General features: G+C 38.7%; 1 protein-coding gene across 5 annotated transcripts in view; it reads left to right on the top strand.

Moving 5' to 3' along the window:
• DAAM1 (dishevelled associated activator of morphogenesis 1) overlaps positions 1 to 26998 on the top strand; it is a 182739-nt gene that overhangs the window by 110128 nt on the left and 45613 nt on the right. For all 5 annotated transcript variants that reach the window (XM_005267431.2, XM_047431135.1, XM_005267430.3 and 2 more), the window contains 6 exons: positions 16486 to 16557; positions 21696 to 21790; positions 24098 to 24431; positions 25334 to 25444; positions 25557 to 25660; positions 26870 to 26936. In XM_005267431.2, the coding sequence (XP_005267488.1) occupies positions 16486 to 16557; positions 21696 to 21790; positions 24098 to 24431; positions 25334 to 25444; positions 25557 to 25660; positions 26870 to 26936 (783 nt within the window). The remainder of the gene's footprint in view (positions 1 to 16485; positions 16558 to 21695; positions 21791 to 24097; positions 24432 to 25333; positions 25445 to 25556; positions 25661 to 26869; positions 26937 to 26998) is intronic.

Genomic DNA, 26998 nt, shown 5'->3' on the forward strand with positions numbered 1-26998 from the left:
TATTTTTGTTTTCCTGTCAGCTTTACCACTTGGGTCATTCCAGCTGTGTCCCTACAACCACCCCTGCCTTGTGTATCCAGAATGGTCTTGTGCTCACAGTGTGCATTTTCATAAATGTTGCTTCTCGTAGATGCCCATTCTCCTTAACGAGGCAGCAGTAAGTAAATGTACTCATAGGTTGAACCAAAACATTAGCTGTCTTTTCTCTTTGGTGCTTGGAGAATTGAATAAATCTGCAATATTGTGGACAAACTTTTGGAGCCATCTGTTGGGGTATAACATTCTGGTTCTGTAGAGTCCTCCTTAGGGATGGATCTTCTCCAAAAGCCTTTCAATCTAGGTATCTGCATGTAGCTTTCCTGAATTACGTTTGTTCCTCATAATTGTTCCAAACTATAGTATGATGTATGTGTAATACAATTTTTTCTAAGATAAATAGAAGCCAAATAAATACTTTGCATAGTTAAAAGCCATCTAAAAGGTAATCTTAGAAGGGAGGATACCATTTACTAGTTGTATGACCTGGGGCATGTTAACCTTTCTAATTTCTCGCTCCTCTGTAAAATGAGATTAACTTTATGGGGTTTTAGTGAAAATTAAATGTAATAATATGGTTTAGTACTTATCAGAGAGCTTGGAGGCATGGTAACATTAGCTGTTGTCATAGTCAATGGTAACAATGGTGACTATGCTTGTAATAGTATGAACTGAGTTTCTGCTTGTTCACCCATATGCTGACCTGGGATTAATCTCCATTTTCTTGAGTGATGTTGATGTCTGGTTTTCTCAGAACAATAGTGATAATTTCAAAAGTGTTGAACGGCAGGATATTTCAGAGGCAGAAATACTAAGTTAGGAGGTTCTATTATAGATAAGGGAAGAGACTGAGAAAGTCACTATGCTCAGCACCAGAAGCTGGTAAAAGGAGGACTTATTTGGCAAAAGTTCTAGGGCAGTGGTGAACAAAATGCAGTCTGTTGGCTTCTGGGTGGGACCCTGGACCTGATTTCCAGAATTAAGGAACACCCTTAATTTATATTTGGGAAGTCTCTGGTCCAGAGAAAGTCAGCCTGCACTGCACTTTTTTTCCTCTTAGCCACGTGCCCTCCACAGTGCTTCAGCATGCTACTGACCAGGTGTAGCCCATGGAGGAGCTCACACAAGTGGGTTTGCTTGGCAAGCAGTTGTCAACACCAACTGAAGTCAAGTCTGGAAAAGTGGGTATGTGTGAGTTTAGCCACTTTTTAAATAAAAATTAAATTCCTACTCTGCTGCCTAGAAAAGGTAGGTGGTTGATGAATATCTTAAGTTTTGAAATAAGAGTATTTTTTGATGAAAACATTGCTGCTGCTGTTGTTTGCAATGGGGGAAAATCCCTTTATAGGACCCAACACAAAGAGAATTCATTAAGTAAGCTAATTTTTACAAATAAGTAAGTTATTAGGTTGGAGTGAGCCAGATTTACAAATGCCCTGTTAAGCCACAAAATTTGCTCAAAGTTGCAGCATTGTAATTCAATAGAGCATTCTAGCTGTGTTATTTCTGAAGTGAACAAAACTTCAGTGATGGAAAGATAATAAAATAACGTTTCAGCACATTTGCAGATAATGTTATTATTAGAAGTCTTAAACCTAATTACCAGAGCAATCATTCTAGGTTCCAATAAGTTGACACTCTCAAAATTTCTAAAAGAAAAAACTAACCTCTGATAACTTTCCTCTCAAGTCATGAGGTAAACTGTTGCTTTCTGTTTGATTAATTTTTATTGTGAAAACGTTAAATATACAAAAAAGTACAGAATATAATAAATACCCATATTTAACAAATGCTAATAACATTTTACCATATTCACCTCAGATTTTTTTTAAAAAAGAAATAAAACATAAATATAGTTGAAGCCCAAAGGTGACTGCTCTTCTGAAAGTGGTTTGTGTTTCTGTCTTTTACTTACCCATATATTTATAGCCTAACTCCATGCGCATTTATTCCTAAACAATATATACTGTTTCTCCATTTTAACTGGTTTATAGTATTGCATTTTATGAACATGCCACAGTTTATTTTTATCCCCATTAGACCATGCTTATTTTCAGTTTTTCTTACTATTTAAAAAATATTGTGATGAACATGTTTGTGCATATGTTCAAGAGTTTATCTAGAATAGACACCTAGACATGTAGTTATTGAGTTGTTTGATATGAACATTTTCACCTTTAATTGCTCTTCAAAGTGGTTATAATAACTTATACCTGCAGTGAATTAGTTGTCAACCATGTGAAGATACTGTCTGAGGGAAGGAAACTAATATCTCATTGCTCGATCAATCATTTTATGAACGTTTAAATGTTTCCAGCATAAGAAACTGTCATTAAAGTTTTTCAGTTTTTTCCCATCTGTCTCACAAATCAAATTGATGTAAAAATTACTGTAATATAAAGTGCTCATTAAAAACAAAAACTCAAGGTTTAGAAAATGAAAAGTATTCTATTCAAATACATACAAAGCCATACAAAAGTACAAAATATTAGAAGTATATTGAGGTCTAGATGAGTGAACCCTACACAGAGCAAACCAAATAAATATTGAACGAATTGTTCATATCGTTCAAATGAACAATTTGCTTAATATTTATTTGGTTTGCTCTGTGTACAGTTCACTCTTCCTTTCATCTAGACCTGTTTGCACCCTGATTTCCAGACCAGGCAAATTGTGTTTCCATCTTTAGCAAGCTCTTGACTGATATTTGCCATCACTGAACACAGGAAGTTCCTCTGAGGCATTTGCCACTTCCCTGGTTGGTGACTAAAGTGCAGGTGCAGAATCAGCACATCTGCACAAGCGAGCAGATGGACTGTTGCTGGGGCTCACGCAATCAGCCCCTTCTTCCTCTAGCCAAAGCAACTTTATCTCGAGCATTTCTTTATAAAGATTTTGAGACTCTCTCCTCTTCCTCGATTCCTTTGGATATTCAGAAGTTGAGAGGTCTAACTTGCTGTCTATCCCCCATTCCTAAATTTTGAGCTCGTTTCTACAGACAAGTCAATTTATGGATTTGGGGTTTGTTGATTCCTTAGCCTGAAAATACTTTGTTCTTCACAGAATTGTAAAAGCAGTGAAAAATGTGTGTGCTTTGTGGATACCATCTCTCCTTGTGCTTTCTAATACATGTTGAGTATCCCATATCTGAAACTTTAAAATCTAAAACTTTTAAAGAGAGTGCCAACATGACTCTCAAAAGAAATGCTCATTGGAGCATTTTGGATTTTAGATTTTCAGATTTTTGGATTAGGAAAGATGAACAGGTAGATATACTGCAAATATTCCAAAATCTGAAAGAAGAAAATCCAAAATTTGAAACAATTCCGGAATATCCAAGCACTTTAGTTAACCCAAACTTGCATTTCTTTAGTGAGTAACACCCTTTTACTGAAGGTCTTGCACTCCCTGTAACTGGGGAACACCGGGCTGGAAGAGAGTAGAAGAGAATGTCCTTGTGTTTGTGTTCACTTGTAATCCAACAATAACAAAAATAAGTTAGCAATATACAGCTGAGAAAAAGTAAGACAGATTGGTTGGACAACCCAATTAATGGGGAGTCATGGGGAGCATGAAGGTAGTGTGTCCTATGGAGCTCTCTTTTTCCCTCTCAAGTAGGGGTTAGAGAAGCAACTCCCTCAGCATTCACTCAGGGCTTGTCACTCACGCCTGCATTGGTGCTGCACCATGGGAAGAATGCTCCTGTCTTGGCTCCAATCCCTGGAGGAGACTTGGAACATAAGCTCTGAATGGCAGTCCTGGAGGACAGTGGTTCTCGACTCCCACAGAACAGCAATCTTTGGCCCCCAAGTTATTCTTTATTTTTTATTTTTTTATTTTTGAGATGGAGTCTCACTCTGTCACCCACACTGGAGTGCAGTGGCGCAATTTCAGCTCACTGGAAACTCCACCTTCCAGGTTCATGTAATTCTCCTGCCTCAGCCTCCCGAGTAGGTGGGATTACAGGTGTCCATCACCACGCCTGGCTGATTTTTGTATTTTTAGTAGAGATGGGGTTTCACCATGTTGGTCAGGCTGGTCTCGAAGTCCTGACCTCAGGTGATCTACCCGCCTTGGCCTCCCAAAGTGCTAGGATTACAGGCATGAGCCACCGTGCCCAGCCAGCCTCTAAGTTATTCTTAAGCAGGTTCCTTTTAACAGCTCTGGTGCAAGTCAAATTTGGCTGTGTGTCAGTTGCCAAGGTAGGAGTCCGTGACTATCTTTGAGCCCTCCGTGGTTGTCACAGAATGTTTATCAACAGTGCTATGGTGGAACCAAGATTCTAAATGTGACTGTGCGAGGCCCTTTGAACCCCTTGCCTGTGTGTGTTAAGGAACAAGGGCATAGCTCCATTTCATTTCCAAAATCTGCAAATGCAGAATTTCACTAGGCATGAAAATGGACTCCTATAGTGTCCTGTGAAACTCAGAGTGAGTTTCTTTGCAGAGTCTGAGCAGATAGTTTCAGTAATCTGAGTAAATAGTCTCTGATGTGTATCTCACGTCTGAGAATTCATAAGTAGCTATTCATTCTGGTTACCACCACCCCAGTGGTCCCCTGAGGGACATACAACACAGTAGTTGTGCTAGAGTGATGCATACCTTTTGTTACAGCATTCCTTAGAACTGTGGCTTCCTGCCCTGGTTAGCGATGGAGTACTAATAACCTCAAGCAAAACTGGCATAAAGGTTTATTTTGATTGCTAGCTCTGAACAATTGGGGGTGGATGCCTGGAGCACTTTGGGAAGCATTCAGAGGTTATGAATGATCTCAATAAGAAATAGGGCCAGGTGCGATGGCTAACGCCTGTAATCCCCGCACTTTGGGGGGCCAAGGTGGGTGGATCATTTGAGGTCAGGAGTTCGAAACCAGCCTGGGACCCAACGTGGCGAAACCCCATCTCTACTAAAAATACAAAAATTAGCTGGGCATGGTGGCGTGTGCCTGTAATCCCAGCTACTCGAGAGGTTGAGGCACGAGAATTGCTTGAACCCAGGAGGCGGAGGTTGCAGTGAGCCAAAATTGCACGACTGTACTTCAGCCTAAGTGACAGAGTGAAACTATGTCTCAAAAATAAAATAAATAAAATAAAATAAAATAAATAACAGCATCTGCCGTGACACATGATGGAGAATGTGGCTTATGTGGGAAATATTTGTTATCCCTGTCCTTGAAAGCTCCTCTTACCACTGGATTATAGTCAGATTCAAGTACCATATTCCATGCTGTCTTTCCTTTGAGCTTCTCTCTGGTTCTTGGCTGACTCTCCAAATGGTATGGCCCATACTTTCACAGAAAGACTGCCCCAAGGCTGCCTGACTTCACCAACTCCAACTCCAGAAGATAGGATTATGAAAGACATCAATATGGAAAGAAATGGCCCCTTTAGAAGCTATATCAAAGAGGAACAAAAAACACGTTTCCTGTGTCTTTCCTATATATATTTTTTCACTAATAGCTCCAGCACACCTAGTACTATTGAATCATTCCATTCTTTGCGCATTTCAGAATTTCTCCTCTTTGTAGAGTAGAGAGAAGCTTTGAGCTTCTAGTATGTTAGAATGTGCCACTAATAATTTGGGATTCTCAAAATTCCTTACACTTTAGGAACCTGGTAACTTGTGGCACTAGAAATGGGTTACAGTAGAGTCTACCAAAGAATACCACCCTTAAGTTACAGTGTCTTAAATTCTGTTATTCTTCAGCGTGGTACAGAGCAACATTGACTTGTGTAGTATCCTTTTATCTGTCCCCATACATAAGGAAAAGCATTTTGTTTTTTCAGTTTCTGAGAGGTACTTCCCTATGTCCCATATTGAGATGTTTCTGATACAGTGGTATCTTCTAACTAGTGCTTTTGTTTCTTTCTTTTGCCAAAAATGCTGTCATTAATTCATGAGTACATTGTAGAGTTTATGGTGGTCTAAAATTAGGAATACAGTTCCTAACTGTCCTCAGGGACAGTTAACCTTGCATTAGCACTTTTTTCTCATTCTGAGGATGCATCCCTGAATGGCATATGCCTTTATGTGCTTACTGTTACCCCTGATTCTCCTTTTAGCTTAATTACTCTTTTCCAAAGGGTCCTCTCTTGTTATAGCCTTGTGTTAAACATTATATTGCAAATCATAAACACACTTTGATTGTTTTCCCAAGGGCTGGTTACAGAACATCAAAACCTACTTTATGACATTCTGAAAGGTGGGTCTGGTAGCTACAAATGTGGTAGCAAGATGTGAGGCAGCAAAGGCCATTGACACCACTGATTGAATTTGCACGATACATAAGGGTTTAGCGTTGTGTGTCCAAATATGTTAATTTACAAACCAACTGGACCACATTGTACCTGGGTCTTTAGCACTCCATGGTGACATGTGGATCAAAGATTTGGCTCTTAACAAGCTATGTAGGAATAATTTGTTTTATGTCATTGCACACTGTTGTGTCATAGGCACAGTGCCTGCCTGCAGGGGAATGTGGGGTTGTATCATTTCTGAAACTAATAATTGGAGAATATTTCTTTTTCTTTGCCATGAAACTGAGGGGGAGTTGTCATATAAATTGGTTTCAGATGTTGGAGTTGTACTGCTTGAGAATTTTAGGCTTCAGTCATATGCCATGCTGTGAAGTGCTTTGCCAAAATAATGACTTGTTAAAATAAATAAAGTAAGTGTCTCATAGTTTGGGAAGTGGACTGTAAAATCTCAGTTCTTAGTTCTAGCTAAGTGTTGTGGCTGCTTTCTCAGATATACCAGGTGCACATAAAATGTATTCCCCCACATCCCCTCTAACCACCCCCCAACTCCTTGTAAAGTCAGCTGAGGCTTGTTCAGGAAAGAAGAGGGTGTTGGAGCAGAGGGCTCCTGAACCCTTACAGAAATGCGGTGATATTGTTGCTCTTCTCTTTGCTGCTCTTCCCCACAGGGTGACTAGGTCTCTGTAAAGTGGCACTCTTTTCTTGCTTTTCTTGCTTTTCTGGGTGTGTGATTTTGGGGAGGACATAAATAATAGCTATGTGCTATTTCATTCAGGCCATTCAGAAACTCTGATTTTTACCAGTGTAAATAAAGTTTGTGATATATGGAAAATATTAATGTGACATTTTGTGCTCTCAAGGAAATGTCTCAAAGGATTTTTTCCCAGGGGAGTTCAGGAATGCTTGCACTGTATCTTTACTTTGAAGTTAGAGATCCATTGATAAAAACCAGGGCTTAGTTAAAAGGCAGGAGAGTTAATGAACACTTGACTGTTGTTTTTTTTTTAACATGATGACCAGAGAGAGTGAAGTATTTAAATAGGCATACTTTTTTGTAGCTATACTTGCAAAGACTTAGAACCTATTGTTGGAGTAAACTTGGAATCTTCTCAGAACCTCTCAACTCTAAAGTTCAGAAATGTGTAAGTCTAGGAACTGCTAAGTCTGTCTCAGGGATCACTCACAAGGAGAGCAGGGAACTTTGTTCTTTTATTCATGTATTCCAACACCCAGAATAGTGCTTAGCTCATTATATAATAGAATTCAATAAATATTTGTTAGATGAGTAAAGGAATGAGAAGGAAAGCAAATGCCTTTTTAGATTCCATTCAGCATTGTAGATATGAGCTTAGTGAAAACAATTCTGCTCCTATCCTGCCCTTGAGAAGCCTTATGTTTAGCAGCATAGTATTAATGCTATCACAGAGTTTGGCTGTCTACACAAGTATTTAGATTTTAAAATGCTGCCGTGTCTTTGGGAGATTTAGTAGACTGTGTGTTACTCTAACATGGCATCCAGCTCTAAACCAAACTGTTAGGGAGCAGCAGTTGAGTATAGCCTCTTTTCTGGCTGGAGGGTCTAACCTCACTGAGTTCACAGCTTTTTTTTTTTTAATCAATAATGCAGGAAGACTTAGTAATACCCCAAATACTTAACCAACAAATTCCTGAGGGGGATAGAGGACCAAGTGCTCCCTTCCAAGGGAGGTGGAATGGAATGGTCAGGAGCTTAGTGGTCTGAAGTTTGAGACTCAGTGATGCACAGATAGAAACCATACCATGCAGCCTAGGCAAGGCAACAGAAATACACAGAATTGTGGTGTAATGGTCAGAATGGGGTAGGTGTTCTTGAGCAAGAGCTTTGGGCCAGCCTGGGCATTTAGGTAATTTAGATGCGAGGAGTCTGGAGCAGAGTATTAGTCATGCAGTGTGGCCTCTGCATTATACCTTTATAGATTGTGTTTTCTTCAACCAGGAAGTACTAGTCATGCATCTTTTGTTTTGCTAAGCTGCAGTTATAGTGAAATGGAGTAAATATCAGATAGACTAAATATCCTGTCTATAGCACTCTTAAGAGTCATCTCTACTTTTGTCTCAAGCTTATTTCACAAATCTGTAAATTATTTTTTTAAAAACCTGATAGCACTTCCAATGGTTCTTATCCATGAAATGCAAATTGAGTCTGATACAATTGACTGTTGCCCTCTTGGCCAGTTTTGCATCTGTTTGTAAACTCTTTCAAACATCATGATGCTAATCATAAGTCTACTCCTTGGGTTCTCCTTTGAACCAGTTGTAACATCTTCCTAGTTCTCTCATTTATTAGCAAGTTTAGTAAAAAATATTTGACATGGATTCATGCCATGCTTTTAAAAAATTATTCTTTACCAATACAGAATTTTAAACTTAGAGAATTGATAAAGAGGGAGCTAACTGATTCTACGTGATCTGAAATCTTCAAGTATATTTTATTTTTGAATACGTGATATGGTAGCAAGAGGCTTTCTCTGGGCAAACGTGGCATTTTGTATTGGCTCAACTAGTCTTTCTACCTGCATAAACCAAAGAAAAGGAAGGAGCAGAGCCCTGGGGGGTCAGAGGAGGTATCAGGCTTCATATGCATACATGGAAAAAATTCCTATGATATGTGAACGGATGGTTATACAGGAGAATAGTGGAGATAGCAAAAGTCATCTGGAGGTGTAAAAAACAATGCTCTAAAGGGACTTAAATGTCCCCCCAAATTTCTTGACAGCTGGCGAGTCGAGGTCCTATTCATGTAGTTTCAATTTTGTTAACCTAGATTTATGTTTTAGATGTGAAGCATCCTCAGTCTTATAATGAGAAAACCCATTTTGCTATTTAGTTTACGGCCAACTTTGTTAAAATATGTATACTTAATAAAGCAAGGACTAAACAAGTTTCCCTCCACTTAATATGACGTGTCTTTTATTCTAAGTCATAAATGTTATCTGTGAGGACTATCAGGAGAGTGAGAGCTTGTTCTTTTTCTTCTTGGAGAGACATTTTGGATAGAAATCTTCCCTCTCAGTAGAGTTTGTATAGAACTGTGAATGACTAATACAAATATGTGAAAATAGTCCTTTTATAGGAGCTTAGTTATGTTTGTTAAAGTTATCCCTGCAATTAATGGACATGAGGGTATGATGAACTTATAGAAAATTTGAGATTTGTTTATGAATTGAGGAAGATAAACTTGTGTTATATGGCCAGTAGAGAATTTCTGGCTTGTAAAAGGGAAGATTTGGGGAGGATATAATCACTTTATTCAAATTGTTTAAATATTTGCTGGGTCATTGTTCATAGGAGAGATTAAACTTATTCCATGCAGTTCCCAGGGACCAAACAAAAGCCAACAAGTGCTTGAAGTTACAAGGAGACATCTGTCAATTCAGTGTCCGGTGAATTTTTTAACAGTTCATGAGAGTGCTAGTTCCAGAAGATTGTGGACCTCTGGAAGCCTTCTCAAGAGCAGATGATGGATCACCTGCTGGTAACCTTATAAGGGACCCCTGTGAGAGGAAACTCAGCCCAGGTTGTCTCTAGGGTCAAAGACCAGTTATATAATCCTGTGATGGCTTTGGTTAAAAACATGCACATGTTTTATTAAAACATTAGGAAAAATGGAGAAGGTTTACTCTTTCTTCCATAATTTCTCCTGCTGCATGTGAGAGCCACTGTTATTGCAAGTCATCATTCAGTCTTTCCAGAAAAATGACTGACATTCTGAGGCTTAGGAGGAGGTGGTGGATTTCCTGGCAGATGAAGAAGCCACTGTTCTGTAATCATTCTTTGTGTGGGCCCAACCGGATTTTGGTAACAGATGTACTTGATATATAATTGTGGCAGTGGCCAAAAAATGTAACCAGGATTGGCAGTCCCAGGGACCACATGGCTATCTTGGAATGTGACAACACAGGAATTATTTTCTGAAACCAATTGCCCTTCTTTTGGCAAGCTTCAGATATAGAATATAGTTTTGCTCACCACCAGGGGTTAAAGTTAGGTATTGGAGGGAATGAGGAAAGCAACAATCTCCAAACTCCAAGTTTTAAATCTCCTACTACTTTTTTGCCCCCAAAAAGGAAGAGCCAGATGGAAAGAGTTGGGGGCAAATATCAGGATTTAAAGGACCTAATGATGCTTTGCTATTTTCAAAAAGTAGGATTAAATATAGATTCAGGGAGCAGTGAGCTTGGCAAGAAGGTACACTTCACAGGCATGGTAGGTCACTGCTTCTCTAGAAAAAGTTCAGGTTACTGGGCAAATTCCAAACACTTTATGAGCTTATCTTAATTTATAGCGGCAGCTTGATACATGAAAAATAGTTGGTGACCAAGTTAGGATTTTGATGTAATCCAGCCCTCTTGAGAGCCAAGCTTAATCTAGCACACAGGGGTTGACAAACTATGGCCCGTGGGCTAATTTGGCCAGTCACTTGTTTTAGTAAATAAAGTGTTGCTGAAATGTGGCATTGCCTATTCATTCAAGTGTTCTCTGTGGCTGATTTCTTACTACACAACAGCAGAGTTGAATAGCTACAACAGACTGTGTGGTCTACAAAGCCTAAAATATTTCCTGTCTGGCTCCTTACAGGAAAAGTTTGCGACCCTTGGTTGTTCCAGATTGTTCCACACTTTATCGTAGCCATCTTCGAGAAGATGCTGTTTACACCGTTATGAGCCAGAGGGGGAAGTTAGCAGAAATTACTAGCAAGGCCGCCCACAAATATTTTTACATCTTCCATCTTCTGTGCTTCTCTTTCTCTGTTGCTTGGACCTGGTCTTATGTTGGCACCTATTCTCTAACATAAGAGTTCTTTTGGATGCCACACATCATGGAGTTATAACCTAACACAATAAACTATTTTGGCCTATCTGCCCTTTTCTGCCTAGGTTTCTGTATAAATTTTAGGTGTAGAGTGAATTTATTTAATGTTTGTTGTATTCATTAGTGTATGGGATTGGACTGGTGTTACCTAGAATAGTAGTGACAAATTTTTTCCTTTTTTTTTTTTTTTTGAGACAGGGTCTTGCTCTGTGGCCCAGGCTGGAGTGCAGTGGTGCGATCTCGGCTTACTGCAACCTCCGCCTCCCGGTTCAAGCGATTCTCACGCCTTAGCCTCCTGAGTAGCTAGGATTACAGGCATGCGCCGCCATGCCCAGCTAACTTTTTTAAAATTATTATTATTTTATTTTTATTTTTAGTAGAGATGGGGTTTCACCATATTGGCCAGGCTGGTATCGAACTCCCAGCCTCAAGTGATCCACCCACCTCAGTCTCCCAAAGTGCTGGGATTACAGGTGTGAGCCACCGTGCCTGGCCAGTAGTGACAAATTAATGAACAAGGTGACTATTTTGCTTATTAACAATGGATAGAATTTTTTCATTCTATATATGATTACGGTTCACTTGAAATTTCTAAAAGCAGGTTCTTTGCAAAGAGAGCAGGTTTTTATTAGCAATTATTTGCCTTTCCCCTGTAATGAAAATGATCACAATAAAATTCACTTTGTGTCATACTGAAACAGTATTCTTCTGCTGTTGACATTTGTTTGGTTAAGCCTTACTGTATCTCCACTATATTTGAGATGATGGTATTAGTATACATTGCTAGAAGAGTTTCAGCCAGTCTAGACAGTTAAAGAGTGTGTCTTTCTTCCTTGACAGATATTATCTAAGAACCTCCTCAATTCGTAACAGCACACATAGAGATTTATGGCTTTAGCTGACTAAATGAATGTTGCTTCAGCCTGTGATTTGTGGTCTAGCGAACAACCGCAGAGCATGTCCTTTACAATTGATTGACCTTTGCATAGCTTATTTTGGGCCTTACTAAGAACATCTTAAACTGAAAAAAAACAAAAAAAACAAACAAAAAAACTCTGACATACTTATGTATTATTATTTGGGAAATGATCCTATTAAGAAAGTGTCCTGTGCTAACTTCAGAAGAAGTTATTCTTCCTTAAAGACTTAATTTTCTAACTGCATTTTGAGTCTCACCTATATCAACAGAAGACTTCAGCTGCTACGAAGAAATTTTTGTCACACAAATTTCTAAATATATGAGTATAGAAATTTTGAAAATTTTAGCATGCTTTGGGTATACAAATCTTGTCCCAAATCAGAGATTCTCTCTCTGCATAAACAGCTGATATTGACATTATGGTGAGTTTTAAAAATAGAAATCCAGTAAGAGAAGACAATTAGTAGAGAAATGGTTTAAATTATTTGCTGTGGGAGGTGGAGGGGTGCCCCAGGAGTGGAGGACAGAGACATTCCAGATGCTGAAGGGTCTTGATGCATTCCATGTCACCCCAAACGTCAAACAAAGCAAAGCTCTTGTCCTGACAATGCATAATGCTTTAGAACTTACTTCTAATTGTAAAAATAGTGTATGTTCTTGGTAAAATAAAAATTTGCATGGTATAGAAGTTTATAAGTTAAAAAAAAAAAAAAAGAAAACCTTCCCTTCTGTTATCCAGAGGTAGCCATTGTTAAGTTTTATTTATATTTCTGGAAATGTTTGTGTGTAGTGTATACATATTTTTCCCTACAGATGGGAAAGATGATATTCTGAAGCATTCTCTCCCCGACAGTATATTTGCTTGTCTTTTCTTTATTGTTTGTGAGATAGGATCTTGCTATGTCACCCTGGCTGGTGAACTCCTAGGCTCAAGTGATCCTCCCACCTCAGCCTCCTGAGTAGCTAGGGCTACAGGCATGTGTCAACAAGCCTGGCTAATTGTTTTATTTATTTATTTATTTTGGAGAGATGGGGTCTTGCTATGTTGCCCAGGCTCATCTTGAACTCCGGGCCTCAAGTGATCCTCCCACCTTGGCCTCCCAAAGTGCCGGGATTACAGGTGTGAGCCACTGCACCTAGCCCCTCTCTATATATTTATTCCCCTTTGTATTGTTTGTTAATTCAAACAGTGCTATAGTGAAAAATTTTCGTGATTATATATCTGTACAAGTGTGAACATGTAATTATAGGCTAAATTCCTGAAAGTAAACTTACAGGGTCAAAGGCTATCTGGATTTTAAATGTGAACAATTACTACCAAAATTTACTTCCAAACTGGTTGCTGTAATTTTTACAGTCCCAGTTACTGTAAGGACACTGAATGGACATAACTGGAGACTCTGGAACAGTATCATTATTGTCAGAGCTAGCATTTATTGAGCGTGTTTTGTGTATACTCTTCCCAGTGCTTGCTTTATTTGTATCAACTTTTTAAGTTCTCACAAAGATGCTATGAGGAGGCAGGCACCTATTTCACAGGTAAGGAAATGAAAACTGAGTCACAAAGAGGTTACTTAAGAGTCACATAGCTAGTGAGAGACTAAGGATTCAAATGCTGTTGGTGGTGAGAGAAGTGTATCACAGTCATCTTCGAGGTGAGTAGAGATGATAGTGAAGTCCCAGATATAGCTGTGAATGTCTACCTCAGTAAGAAGAAGAATGAAGAAACAATGTAAAATGTATTCTCAACAAAGTGATGTTGAGAAAAATAAATGCATCCTTGTACATTTAAAGAGGATGGGAGAGGATCTCTTAGAATTTTTTACTAGCCACTGACCAGAAATTTGGAATGAAAAATGTGCTATTTGGAAATAAGGTGAAACTAGAAAGATTGTATATTTCTTTATCTTTTAAAAGAGTTGGATGTTTAAAAAAACAAAAGTCAGTGTTCTTGAAGGCACTTTGTACTGTACAAGTTCTCTTTCCTAGTGAAGGGCTCCCCCATCCACAGAATTTGGGATAATGGGAGCAAAGTATATACAATCTAGAACAGAAGTTAAAACAGTAGTCAGTGCAGGCTGAGAGCAAGAAGTGTCAAGGTGAATTGCATCCAGCAGGAAATCTTGTCCATGAATATTCTCTTATAGATGTCTATTAACCTCCTAAGAAAAAGGGAAGAGTTGGATTAGAGAAATAATAAAATTAATGTTCAGATCCCCTGTCTCCTCCTGCCAGAGAACAATTGCATTCATCTCCTTCTGGCCTATGTTTCTACAGAGCAACAAACTCTTAATGCCTCACAAAGGAGGAGGAGAGAGAGTTTTGGTTCAGAGATGGGAGTTTCACATGGCTCCTGCAGCACACATCTGCATGCAGGGACCAGTATTGCACAGGGGAAACTGGAGATACATTGCCCAAATTAAGAACTCTGAGGATCACGTTAGTACATTTACAAGAAACTTTCACATACTCTAGCTTGTTTGGTTTTCTCAGCACTGAGGCATGTGAAATGAAAATGAAGCCTTCTTCCCCTTATTGTGATGACAATATCTACGTGTGCTGTTAATCTATTCGCATTATTAAAACATTTCCAAACTGTAAAGACTTCTCTCTGTGTACCAATCTTCAGTTTCAAGAATGGTCTCTCTTCTGTAACTGTTAAATATTAAGCTTACAACAGACAGGCTCTTGTGGGACCTCAGTCATGGGACTTGATTTTGTTTTAGTTTTGGAAATTTGCCCTACTTTGGGGGAATGGAGAGATCTGGCACCTTCTGCTTCATTTTATAGGTTCAAATACCATTGAATATCACTGTGAGTTTTGGCTTGTTAAATACATTGGTAAGAGTGGGGTTTTGCTAATACTCCCTTTTAAGAGGAAAGAAGGGTTTAGCATTTATACTACCACTATAGCTATTTTATTAACATGTTAAAGTATAACCAAGGCCTGTTTTTAAAAACTCATCAGATTTCCTAAACGTTGTGAAACTATGGGAGTGTAATCCAGTCTAACTTCAAAGCCTCTGCTGTAGCCTTAGTCCCCATCATCTGGCTTCTTCAATCTCCAGATGAAATTCACACAACTGCCTGAGTTGAGATATCAGTTACTGCCAGCTTTTAAGGCACTGTAAGCAATAGTTACTTTGCCCCCTTGTTGTGACTACTTAAAAAATAGTTTTGAAATTGCATTTCTTTTATTCCACCTGTGTAGACCTGTCTGGAAAGATTTGCTTACAGAAAGTGTTTTTTCGAGGCACAGTATAGGACTGAAATTAAATGCCCCACCTTGAAACCACTCTCCTGAGGGTTGGGATTCTGACATCAGGATATAGAGCTCTACTAAAAGAGATGTTAAAACCTAGTAGGTAGTCACTGCTTCATTATGAGACAGTAGCTGTGTGTACATGGCATAACATCTTCTCCACTAGGGTGGGATATCCATTGTCCTCAGGTGGTCTTTGAATGTGAAGCTAAAGAACCAAAATTTTCCTTTTCAGGTCTGTTTGATCACACAAGTGACTCACATAGATGTGCAAATACGCATAGAAATCCCTGACCACAGTGCCATCTTCTGCTGGGCTCAGTGTTCAGGTGGAGCCAGAGGCCACAGCCACTGATAACTGATTTTTTTTTTTTTTTTGAGATTTGGCTTCAGGTTGGCACAGATCTCCCATCCACAGAAGCCCTGGGGGGCTTAGGGGCTGGCTCCAGGTCACCCTGCTCTGTAAGAGGCAAGGCTGGCTGGGACAGTTTAGGAATCGGTGCCTGAATTCTTTGGGTTTCAGTTCTTTTCCACTCAGAGGCACTACCTTTTCTATCAAAACTCCTGAGCTGTCACAGCATGAGGGCTGCGCCTGGAACTAATGTGAGTTCATTTTACTACCTTCCATTCAATGTCAGGCTTTATTCTTCTACCTCTTCATCTGAAGCAGTACTTAATTTTTGCCACATCAAATGAAACCCTTCTTCAAGTTTTTACTGTCTGATGGAGTCTGAATACACTAACTGAAAAAGTTTGGTTAATAACTGGCTGAATCCTATGGTCACCTAAGGCAAGTTTCCTTCTCTCATGGATTCCATCCAGGTGTATAGTCTAACAGTACTGTCCAGTGTGACATAGCCCCTGAAGGAAAACAACTTTACACCACTTAAATTCTTCTTGATCCACGCTTCAGAAAATGTCCCCTTGTTATACCTAACTCACACTTCAGCATTCTCTGTGGAAATTGAGCTGGGAAGACCACCCTAGTCAAGTAGGCAGTCTGATCATTTATAGCCAACATTTAAAAATAAATACGTCATACCTTCGTGTCTTCTAAAGGCTTGAGTGGGTCATTGTCTGGGTGCTCTGGAAGTCGGATGTGTTTCTAGGTGCTGTGTGTATATGTTGGGTGGTATGTCACTTTTTTTCCCCCCTTTTTAGGACCAGGAAGAAAACAAGGGAGCTACAAGTTGGCCTGAATTCTACATTGATCAGCTCAATTCCATGGCTGCTGTAAGTAGACTTTTATGTTCTTTGACACACTGTTTAAAATGCAAGTGTAGTACAAAGTACACAGTTGCACAATAAATTCGATTGAGTATGACCTACCAAATGTCAGTACCTTTCCAAACTCCATCCTAAACATTCAATGCTGGGGAAAGGAAAGAGGGTAGGAGGGATACTTGGCAAAGTGATTTTTCCAGTATGTTTTAAATAAAATCAGCACACACTGCAATATAATTGAGTTTAATGTTGTAAGTGAAAATGTAGTTTGAAATCTGGCTTGTGTTCAACTTTAACTTGCAATTGCTCTTACCAGTCACTCGGAGCTTGGTTATGGCAGCACTATTTTAAAAGTTAATACCATTTTAAAATAATATGATTAAGCGATTTCTTTACTATATCCCTCCCATTCTCTTTCTTACTGAGAACTTGGTTATTTCCTGGCATCATGATTTTGCAGGGGACCAAGTACTCTTTACTCATATAATAGATCAGGAATTCATAAAGCAAGTGGTTTAATGAAAAGGCGTCATAATAATAGTGCTGAGATGTCCTCGGAAAATCTTTAGTACATGGATTGTTGGTTCAGTAATTGCTTAATATGTATTCTCAATGCCTAAAATATGAATTCTAATCACATGGATGTCTGTGATGTCAGCATTGCCAGCAGCTTGAGGGACACCTATTCATCACAGCTAAAATTCACAGCAGAAAATAAGTCATCAACCTTTGAGCCTTAGTAGCTTAAATCCCATCCCTGTTGATAAGAATTAGAGGTTGCCCATAGTAGAATGCAGTCTTTGTCTCAGTGGGCACACTCATGGTTTTAAGAGTCAATCTGTTATATTCATGTTTATAACATGCAAGTAGATGATAGCTTCTAGAATACTTTCTTCTACCTCCTTCCTGCCTTCTCTCTTTATGGAGAATAAATTTCTTATCACTCAAAACAAGCATTTTAAATGGTCTCATAACATTTTCCTGCTGCTGGAATAGTTAAAAACTGATTAGAATATGTGAGTCGTTCACATGTTTCCTAAACTTTTAGAGGTCTTGACTTTTAGTAACTTCCTCTTTTTTAGCTTTTTTCTTACAAGATGCTTCTTCTGTTGTCATACAATGAATAATAAACAGCCTATATATATAAATTATAGAAGAAACTACATAAGTTTTTCCCCAAGGGTTTCTAGTCTAAAAGCATAGCAGAAATGGACAGAAAATAACCACCAAATCCTTCTTATTCAAGGCATCTCACACAATGCCAAAGATGAGAAAAGGGTGATCTCAGCATTTGTATGAATATGCTAACAGAATGTGAGATTTGTGATGACCACCAGGGATTTTCTGTGCATCTGCCTAAGCAATAATAATTTGGAGCCATTTATATTTCCTGCATATAAAGGCTATTTTCTGAATTCTTGTTCCTGGCTGTTAGGAAAAAAAGAATTGTTTCTCTTTCTAATTAAATTTGCATGTTTGTTATCTAATGAGAAGTTGCTTATTTGTTAATGAATTCCCTTCTATAAATGGGGAACTACTAAGTACTGTATGGATTTTTCCTTTCTTCAAGTATAGGACAGTTAGATTAATTTGTCCTTTAGTGACTTAATCCCTGCCTTGTCTGAAGTAGACCTGGTTCATTTGTGTGCTACAGGGTCTGTGATGTGCCAACATGTGGCCCTTCTTTAAGGGCCTCCTCTCTCCTCCATCCAGCTCCTTGGACAATTCTTTGCCACATTCTTGAGTGATCTACATTTTAACTGCTGTGTGTTTGGTTCCCAATCCAAAATCCTTCCCAAGAGCACCACAAGTCTATTAAATTGTCAGTGACTTTGCTATACTTTTTGTGTCAAACACCTAAGAAAGCTTTCTAATGTTCCTTTTAGGACTGAGCCAACATCTTTCCAGGGTCAAAGGTAAAAGGCATTAATAGTCCATGAATTAGTGAGGCCTCAAAATTCCTGCATACTTCAGGGAATAAGGAGATCTGATGAGACCAGAAACCCTATGCTGAGTTTTCTGTTTTTCTCAACATTCTGATTGCCACCACCGCCTTGCATAGTTCTGGCTAATCACTATGATGTCTGTACTGGAGAATTCTTGATAACACACAGCAGAAATCCTGAGATATTGTACCTGGAGCAGTGGAAAGGCACACAAGTTCTCCAAATCCTTTCATGGCCCAGCAGCTAGACTCTTTGGTTGTCTGCTTAGGGCATTCTTGAAGGAGTGTTTGTCCACATTGTCATCACCCATTGTCTGCAGAATCAGCAGCAACTACTACATGACAAGCAGGGTAACAGGCACTTCATATGTTGTTTGCGGTCCCACCAGCATCCTATGCTGTAAGTGCTATTTATAGATAAGGAGTCTGAGACTCCAGAAAGGTTACCTTGCCCAAGGTTATCTAATTAGGAGGTGGTCATCTAATTGGGAATTTAAATGTATCCGTCTAAGCCCAAAGACTCCTTTCCAATTTGCCTCTCACTAATTCAGTTTTTGAAACCCTGTGGCATGTGAAAGAGCCCTGGTTATCCCACCTTCTCCCCACCCCCAGGCCTAGCAAGCCTGACTTTTCTGAGATGGGATAGGCTTCTGTTTTCTTTAATGTCTTAAGAGTCTGATAAACAGTCCAGGTGGAGAACTGCAGCACTTACTAGTCTGTGAAGCCAGCCTTTTTGGAACAAGTTCAATTACTTTATGTAAGCCTCATTACAAGAATGCTTTGTTCTTTAAAGGACCCCTGAGTGATCTGTTGGCTTTTAAAGAGTGAAAAATAGTATAATAAAGAGTGTGGCCTAACATCTAGAAGGACCTGGGCTTTCTTTATATGTGGTTTCTCCATGCTTTCTCAAGGAGGAAGACTGTGAGGTGAAGTTCAGTATGCTTAGTGGACTGGCTTATTGATTTCCCACCAAAGAAACGATTCAAACGGGAGCTAAGTTCCAGACTCCCAGCAGGAATGACCTCTGGGCCACATTTGTGCCTCTCTGTCAGACCCGCGTGTTCCAATGTACACCTTAGCAGCTTTGACAGAAAGACCCTCTGCAAGGATGCGCTTTGTCCTTTGCCTGCTTCTCATGTGAGCAGGTATTTAGTAAGTGCATAGAGCATTCAAAGAAGCCTCCACAAGGCCTGTGCATACTAGATATTTGGCATAGTAATCATCTTCAGAAATCTAGGCATCTCCCTTATCTACTAAAAGTTGCAAATTAAACCTTCTTCCTAAATGTGAGGCTTGAAAGCTTTAAACTTTGTAGAAATTATTTTATTTTGAAAAGTCACATTTAGAACATCAAGTTCAGCTACATATCCTCAGTTATCTCAGCACGATAAATATAATCTCAGAACCAAATCTGAAAAATCACACATAGAAAATGTTGTAGTCTTTTCTGTTTTGAAAGGTTATGTTCCTTACACAGTATTGGGAAAGGAATTTCCAACTTAATTTTCTTTGACATTTCATAAATCTCCCAACTCTAGTATGGAGAAACTTAATATAGACTGCTGCTATTCAAATGTGCCACCCTCTCCAGGATTTTTAAAAGGATAAATACATGCAGTTTTATTTGTACTAGTGACCCGCAGTAAAATGTGTAGTCATTAATTTGGGGATAGTTTTGTGTCATTAAGCTTAGGAACAAGGAATGATCTTCATAAAAGGCTGGATTCTGAGCTACAGATTCAAAGTGATTGCATAAGAGTCCAAACGAGTTCAGCTATGTCATTGGAGATTAAACGTTCTTGGCTGGATTTGTGTGAGTTTTCCAGGGGATGGGTCTCAGGGAGCTTTGGGAGAATTCATTGGCTGTCTCTGCACCCAGCTTCCTTACTCACCATCCCCTGGTGACAGCTGTCTGTGAGCATCACCAGCAAGAGGACAACTTTGCAGAAACAATAACAAGATTTTAAAGACCGAAAAAACTACTGGGTTTTATTTCAGTTGCCATAAATGATACTGATGTATTATATTTATTTTGCTTTGATCTTTACCCTTCTCATTATGAAATCATATTTAGCTTTTAGTTAACATTAGTTACTTAATGCTGATACTATTGATTGTCACTCTTGATGAGTTATGGTCCTGAAAGAAAGGCTGAGACTGGGTCATTGAGACCCATGGATATGAGTCAAGCTTTTCTTTTTCAATACAGTCACCCCAATCTGTTTCTCAGCCAAGCATTTCTATCAGAATTTGTAATAGGTAAAAAGATTAAACTAGACAAGCGTGTGTTCAGAATAGGATGAAGAAAAGGGACCAGGAGCTCCATGGATGGAGGATCCTGGAGTCATAAGACTTGGGGTACTTTAGTGCAACCAGGTGATCACAGAGTGAAAGGGAATGGAAAGGTCTAGACACCTTACTGGCATTCTCAATTTTATAATAACAACTGCAATCTTACATGGAACCTTGCTTCTGCGGCATCAGCATTGCCTAGAAATTTGTCAGGAATGCAACATCTCAGACCTCACCCCAGACATACCAAACCAGGCTCCATAGTTTAACACTATCCTCAGGTGATTTTCATATCCATATTAAAGTTTGAGAAGCACTGCTCTAGCAGATCCCTGGGTAGAAACACACACACACACACACACACACTCACTCCATATCCTGATTTCTAAATGATGTTGAATAATTTCTAGAAGTTACGCATTTACTCTGAAGGAATTGTCTATCCTAGTAATAGCTCCAAATTAATTTTTCCTCTTAAAAAATAATTAGATGTAACAAAATCCCTTTGGTCTTGATTACACTTTTTGGCTGAGGAATAGGAATGGTAGCATAGGAGGACTGCTGCCCACCTCCTGTTTTTGATAATGTGATGGTATTATTATCTTTAATTGCCAGAATGTTGTATTCAACTACAGGTTCAGTCTTATTTCTATCAAATACAAGTAGTAGTATCTACATCAAAGTGTAATTATAGAATAGTTATACAAGCATTTGGGCAACGTCATCTCTACGAAGATTTCTAAACTTTTCCCTAAGGCTTTATTTAAAATTTGAAAGACTTAACTTACTTAATCATAGATTTGTTGTTTATATTTAAAGTGATAGTGACAAATAATCTGTAGGTTTGTCTTGTTTGTACTGTAATTAAAAAATAGAATTTGAAGAAGTAACTTCTGTTTTCTTTGCATAGAGAAAATCTCTGCTGGCTTTAGAGAAGGAAGAAGAAGAAGAAAGAAGTAAAACTATAGAGAGTTTAAAGACAGCACTGAGGACAAAACCAATGAGGTAATTTTCCCCTGGATGGCATGTTTTTTTTTTTTCTCTCCTTCCTTCCTTTTTTTGCAATAGTCAAACCTTCTAGGAAGTCTTAAGTTAAAACCATAAAATTAAACCATAACATACTTTAATCATTAACATTTAATAAAGTTATTTTCTTCTGTGAAAAGGTATGTAGGCAGCCACTAGGATGGCTAAAAAAAAACAAAACAGAGAGAGACTTTAACAATGGTAAGTTAGTAGACAAGAATGTAGAAAAATTGGGACCCTCATTCATTGCTGCTAGGAATGTAAAATTGTGAAGCCACTTTGGAAAAGGGTTTTAACAGTTTCTCAGAATGTTAAATATAGTGTTGCCATATGACTCAATAATTCTGCTCCTCGGAATGTAGCCAAGGGAAATGAAGACATGTCTCCCAAAAACATGTATGCAGATGTTCATATCGGCATTATTCATGATAGCCAAGAAGTGAAAATAACCCGTATATTGATCAGCTGATGAATGGATAAATGAAATGTTATATATCCACATAATGGAATATAATTTGGCTACAAAAAAAAGGAATGAAGTACTGATACATGCTACAACATGAAATGACCTTGAAATATGCTAAGTGGGAGAAGCCAGTAACAAAGGAGACCACACACTGTATGATTCTATTTATAAGAAATTCCCAGAATAGGCCAATCCATAGAAACAGAAAGTAGATTAGTGGTTGCCAGGAGCTGAGGAAGTGGGGAAAATGTTCTCTTTGGGTGATTAAACTGTTCTAAAATTAGCTAGTGTTGTTGGTCACACAGCTCTGTGAATATACTAAAAGCTACTGAATTGTACACTTTAAAAGGGTGAATTTTATGGCATGTGAATTATTTCTCAATACAAGTATTACTTTTCTTTAAAGATGGGTACACTTTCTGGCAACAGTGATTCATTTCCTCTCTGATAATCAGCTTCTATGTTGTGCCTCCTGCACTTTCATTCCTTTAATGCCTCTAGGATTTGCTGAGATGCTGAGGTTCTTATAAGTACATTACATGAGCACAGGTGCTATGAATGAAGCCAACTGGTTTAACGAGCTTGGCTACATCTGGGTCATGTGGTTGGGTGAAAAGCCTAGAAAATAAAGATTCCCTTTCTTTATTTGACTATAAAATGCAAACTAAGAAAAGTCTGACTCATGAAAAATACTGTGTAGTTATATGACAGAGATCTAGACTATCCTAACTGTATCAGCATTTCTCTCAATATGTTCTGCACTCTCAGATGTTAATCGATATCCAAGCCTAAATAAGTTTGGAAAATTTATCACATAAACAGGTTATGTTACTTCTGAACTTTTCGGTGGCTTTAATATGTACATGTGCATTGTGAGTTAGTCTCATTGATTAACTTAAGTGTAAGAAATATTAATAACGTTAGTATGCAACAATAAAGTATTGCTTTATTATTGTATTCAGTGTACATGGAATATTGAGATTCCATGTAGCATGTCATATAAGAGAAGAATTTTGTCACAAAACCTTAGGGATGTAGATTATCATTTGTTCAACAAGCAAATATCCTGGAATTTAAGGAAGCTTTTGACTTTCATTGATAGGGTGTTTGGGTCAGTGATCAGCACTTAAAAGTGCGTCAGCAATCAACATATAAAAGCGCATGGGCCAGACATGGTCACTCACTATCCCAGCTACTTGGGAGGCTGAGACAGGAGGTTTGCTTGAGGCCACAAGTTCAAGACCAGTCTGGGCAACATAGCAAGTCTCCACCTCTTAAAAAAAAAAGTTAAAAAGAAAAAATTGACTGGGAATGGTGGCACGCACCTGTAGTCCCGGCTACTTGGGAGGCTGGGGTGGAAGGATCACTTGAGCCCAAGAGTTCAAGGCTGCAGTGAGCTATGACAGAGCAAGACCCTGTCTCTCTTAAAGAAAAAAAAAAAAAGGATTGGGGTGGGGGCATGGGAACTGTATGCTAAATAACACAGGAACAGCAGATGGTTTTAATCTAAGACAAGATATGTATTCCGAGTATTCTCTTGCTTCTAATTTTTTATGAATATATGATCTGTTGTTTGGTTCTTTGTACCCATTGAGATATGTTTATCACAAATGGAGGGGTTTTTTTTCACACTTTTGGTTAGAACTGACTATTGGGTCTGTGCCAAGGAAGAGGCAAAGAATTAAAAAGACTTCATCAATGTAAGCCTTTTGGCACTTTAGGAACTAAATCTTTCTTTCCCCTGCCCTCTAGACTTTTCTGTTAGGGGCTATTATAAAACCCAAAGGCACTTAAGCATGGTGCATTTCTCTTCATGACAGGTTTGTAACCAGATTCATCGACTTGGATGGCCTATCATGTATCCTCAACTTTCTAAAGACCATGGACTACGAGACCTCAGAGTCTCGAATACATACTTCTCTCATTGGCTGTATAAAGGCGTTAATGAACAACTCTCAAGGCCGGGCTCACGTCCTGGCTCATTCTGAGAGTATTAATGTAATTGCTCAGAGTCTGAGCACAGAGAACATTAAAACGAAGGTGGCCGTGCTGGAAATCTTGGGCGCCGTGTGCCTGGTTCCCGGGGGCCACAAGAAGGTTCTGCAGGCCATGCTGCACTACCAGAAGTATGCCAGCGAAAGGACCCGCTTTCAGGTGGGTGTTCGCTCAGCCTTCTTCACTCACCCCTTCTTTAAAGTCTGCTCAAACACGTGCTTTTCCTGTCCCTGAAAGGGGAATGTTACTTGAGATGTCCTCTTGTGGTGATTACTCACAGTGTGACTTTAAACATTCCCTTCTTCTTAGGTTTAAGAACCAGAGAATAGAGTATACTTTCAATAGTTGATGAATCTGGGCCTTTAGATTTGCAGAACTTGAAAATGTGGTCTTGCATCCTATATGTCATATAGCACACATCTTTTGAACCCACCAAACTGGGTGTTCCCTGAAAATTTTACAGCTTGCCATTCTTGAATTAGGATCAATATTAATAATTTTTCATATTTCACTATATTACTTGGATGTAAAAAGCAAGCAGAGATAATGAAGCAAAGGCTTTTGTATACATGTATGTATGATGTAAGAATTTTGAAATTAGAGTTTTTAGGACTGTTCTTAAGGAGAAAAAGGGTGGCTTTCTATGGGTCAGTGTAATCCTGTCTAAACGTAAGATTTTAAAAGTTAACTTTTTGGTGGCTCACACCTCTAATCCCAGCACTTTGGGAGGCTGAGGCAGGCGGATCGCAAGGTCAGGAGATCGAGACTGTCCTGGCTAACACAGTGAAACCCCGTCTCTACTAAAAATACAAAAAATTAGCTGGGTGTGATGGTGGGCGCCTGTAGTCCCAGCTACTCGGGAGGCTGAGGCAAGAGAATGGCGTGAACCCGGGAGGTGGAGGTTGCCGTGAGCTGAGATCATGCCACCGCACTCCAGCCTGGGCAACAGAGCAAGACTCCGTCTGAAAAAAAAAAAAAGTTAACTTTTGAGTATAAAAAAATTCATAAAATGAGCATAAGGTTAGTAACGTTTCAGTCCTTTGTTTTTCTATTTTTGATAGACATTAATTAACGACTTGGATAAAAGCACTGGGCGGTATCGAGATGAAGTGAGTCTCAAGACTGCCATCATGTCCTTCATTAATGCAGTGCTCAGCCAAGGTGCAGGAGTGGTAAGAACCTTCTACAAATTAAAAATATATTAGTAAATAATAATTTATAAAAAGTGATTATTATGTAGTCTAAAAACCACAAATATGTATTTTATTGCCATTTTACTTTCAGGAGAGTTTGGACTTTAGACTTCATCTTCGCTATGAATTTCTGATGTTAGGAATTCAACCTGTAATAGATAAATTAAGGGAACACGAAAATTCAACATTAGATAGGTAAGTCAGACTATTATGATGTGAGAAAGTTTCTGTGTTTCCCATCTGTGTAATGCAATACCTCATCAAGTGCTGGCCTGTGGTTACTTGTGCCCTGTCTGTAACATAAAGAGCTTGTATCAGAATGTTAGTTCAGCTAATGATGTTTTCATAGTAAGACTTTGTTGATGAGGGAAGCAGCACATTATGTAGAGAACTTAATGTGGGTTTTAGCATTAGACCTGAATTCATATCCTATCCTAGTCCTGCCTCTTATTCCTGTGTATCCTGGTGAAGTTACTCAATTTTTCTGAATTTTGCTGTTTTTATAACTGCAAAAGATAGTGCTGGTGGTGATGATGATAATGACAGTGATTTTCCAGGAATGATGTAAAAATTGACTATAAAACCTATGGAATTACTTAGCCCCTTTGATAGGCATTCTGTGAATGTTAATTTCCACTACCTGTTCATTTCATCGTTTGCTATCATTTCACTGAGTCTAAGCTATCCCAACTTGCTTTCAGAGCTTTTCTCTACCACGGCTCTCCTCTCCTGTATATTCATATACTCCAACATGCTCTTCTTCTTGATATTCTGTGAACACTCTTGCATCAGTGCCTTTGCGCTTGCTGTTTCCTCAGCTTCAAAAGATCTTTCACAGATGTCCAAATTGTTGGTTCCCTAGTTCCCTGGAGAGAGACCTGTTCTAACCACTGTGTGTACATTATTCACCTCATCTGCCATCATTTTCTATTTCCTTTACCCTGATGTGTTTGTCTTCATAAAATGTATCCTGGGTGTGTAGAATACATAGTAGGAGCTCAATACATATGTGACTGAATAAATGAATGGCATGATCATTTCTTTTGTGATCTTTAATTCAGCTGGAAGTTAAGTGTAGGTATATGGGCATGTTTTTCCATAAAGGGAATCCATAGTGGAATCTGAACTTGATTGTTTTTAGATTTAGTTTTAATTTAATAATTGCCTACTGTATGCTAGGCATCGTAGACTTTTAAATTTTTCTCATATTGTGATCTGTTTCGCTCAGGTGATGTCTTTTTTTCTTAGAAAGAACAAAGTTGAAGCTTTCAAATTTTGTTACATTGTTCCTTTTTGAGATATCTCTGAAAAGTCAGGAAAAACCATGATATTAATGTCCTCAGTCTTATGCACCTGTGTTTATAGGATGTTCTACTTAATAACTTTTCTTTCATTATTTTTCAGGCATTTAGACTTTTTTGAAATGCTCCGAAATGAAGATGAACTAGAATTTGCCAAAAGATTTGAACTGGTACGTATGCTTACAATTATTCTGGTTTGATTCATCAGTTCACATTATTTCTGTCTGTAATG

Source organism: Homo sapiens, chromosome 14 (genome assembly GCF_000001405.40).
Source record: "Homo sapiens chromosome 14, GRCh38.p14 Primary Assembly".
NCBI classification, from domain to species: Eukaryota; Metazoa; Chordata; class Mammalia; order Primates; family Hominidae; genus Homo; species Homo sapiens.